Raw genomic sequence first — 1559 nt, 5'->3', positions numbered from 1 at the left:
AGATGTGTCAGTCCATCTGATCTCTTTAGCATTACATCATCTGTCTTAACTAATAGAAACCAATTAGTGATAATGCATGTGATTGGACAGACTATATCTGTAACATGCATATTAACCAGTTCACTTGCATATGACTTATGCTGCAAAATGAACATTTTTAAAGTCATCATCATAAGGGACTTAACCATAGTAAAGATTACCAACGTATGTAGAATCTTAATAAACATTATTAGGATGTTGACATGATCACCAGCCAATTCCTAGCATAAGATATTTTAACATTACCAGGATAAATTTCTCTTTGGAATTCATCCGTAAATTCCAAAGACAAATTCAACAGAAATTCAAATCTCTCCTCACGTGAAGGTAAATTTTGACTTCTCATGGTTCTCAAAGCACATGTAACCCAGTTTCTCCAGGTTTTGGGGTACACACTGTGAAAAAGAATCCACTTGGAACTATTAAACCTTGAGTTCTTATCCTTGCAGACAAGTTCCAGAAAGAAGCCCATCCCTGTCAAAACAAAAACTGATTGGATTCAGAGATGCCTGAGTTGGAGGTAAACTTTGGCAAATTCTCCCAATTACCATACTAAAAACCCTGCCCATGGAGGAGCTTATTCTATATTTTTCATAAATGCAACCATCTAGAGGCATGATTGGAGATTATGCCTGCTCTGCCTTTATTCCACCTCTGCATATGAGGTAGAGGCTAACTAGCCTAATAAAAGCCTTGTTTGAACCTTTAATTGGGAAGGCCTACTTTGGGGAATTATCCCCGGTACCCTCCTTATTTATTGCAAGTAATAAAATCCCCTTGTTAGATCTTTCTTTGTTGTGGTCATTGGACTATCACCCACCAAGCAATCAAACACACTCATTGTGTGGGTAACAACCCTGGCAACCGAGATGAGACAAAGACTCCAGTTCTAACGCTAACTTCACAAAGGCTTGCTATGGGCAAAGCAGTGGACAGCGGCAGCTTGGCTGGGCTAACGTGCTCATGTTGCCTGAGAGGGTTGGGTGCAATTCCTAAGGATCTTCATCTTGGGGTAGAGTCCACTAGGCCATCACTTGGATCTAGCCCAAAAGAGTGGAAGCAGTGGTCCGGACCTTTTGTTTGGTGCTCCTTCAGGGCGGTAAGTGGACTTCACCCTGTTGGCTGACTAAAAGGGAAAACTCCTAGGATCTAGCAACAGGATCTCCAGACTAACCACAATGCACCTCTTGTTTTAGTTTCCACCTTTTGCCAGTTGGTGCCCTGGAGGATTGAGATACACTCCCATCATGGCAACTGGCAATCCTGATCCCTGGCCACTCTGTGCTCTGGAGGGTTGGGAGGCATCCCTGTCACAATAAACAGCAATCTGTACCTAGCCAGATTACCCATGAGGATCAACTTTTCCAGGAAGACAGGTTTAAGATCCTTAGATTCGGGGGGCATTTTCCAAAGTGGGAAACGACCCAGGTACATCTGGAAGCCCTCAGTCTTGACAACTAGGCTGCGAAAATTGTAACATAAGAGAAGAGGCTCTTACCAATGCATCCCTGGACCACCTG

Source organism: Homo sapiens, chromosome 9, assembly GCF_000001405.40.
Source record: "Homo sapiens chromosome 9, GRCh38.p14 Primary Assembly".
NCBI classification, from domain to species: Eukaryota; Metazoa; Chordata; class Mammalia; order Primates; family Hominidae; genus Homo; species Homo sapiens.
The sequence above is the reverse complement of the archived record's forward strand: the minus strand, read 5'-3'. Positions refer to the sequence as shown.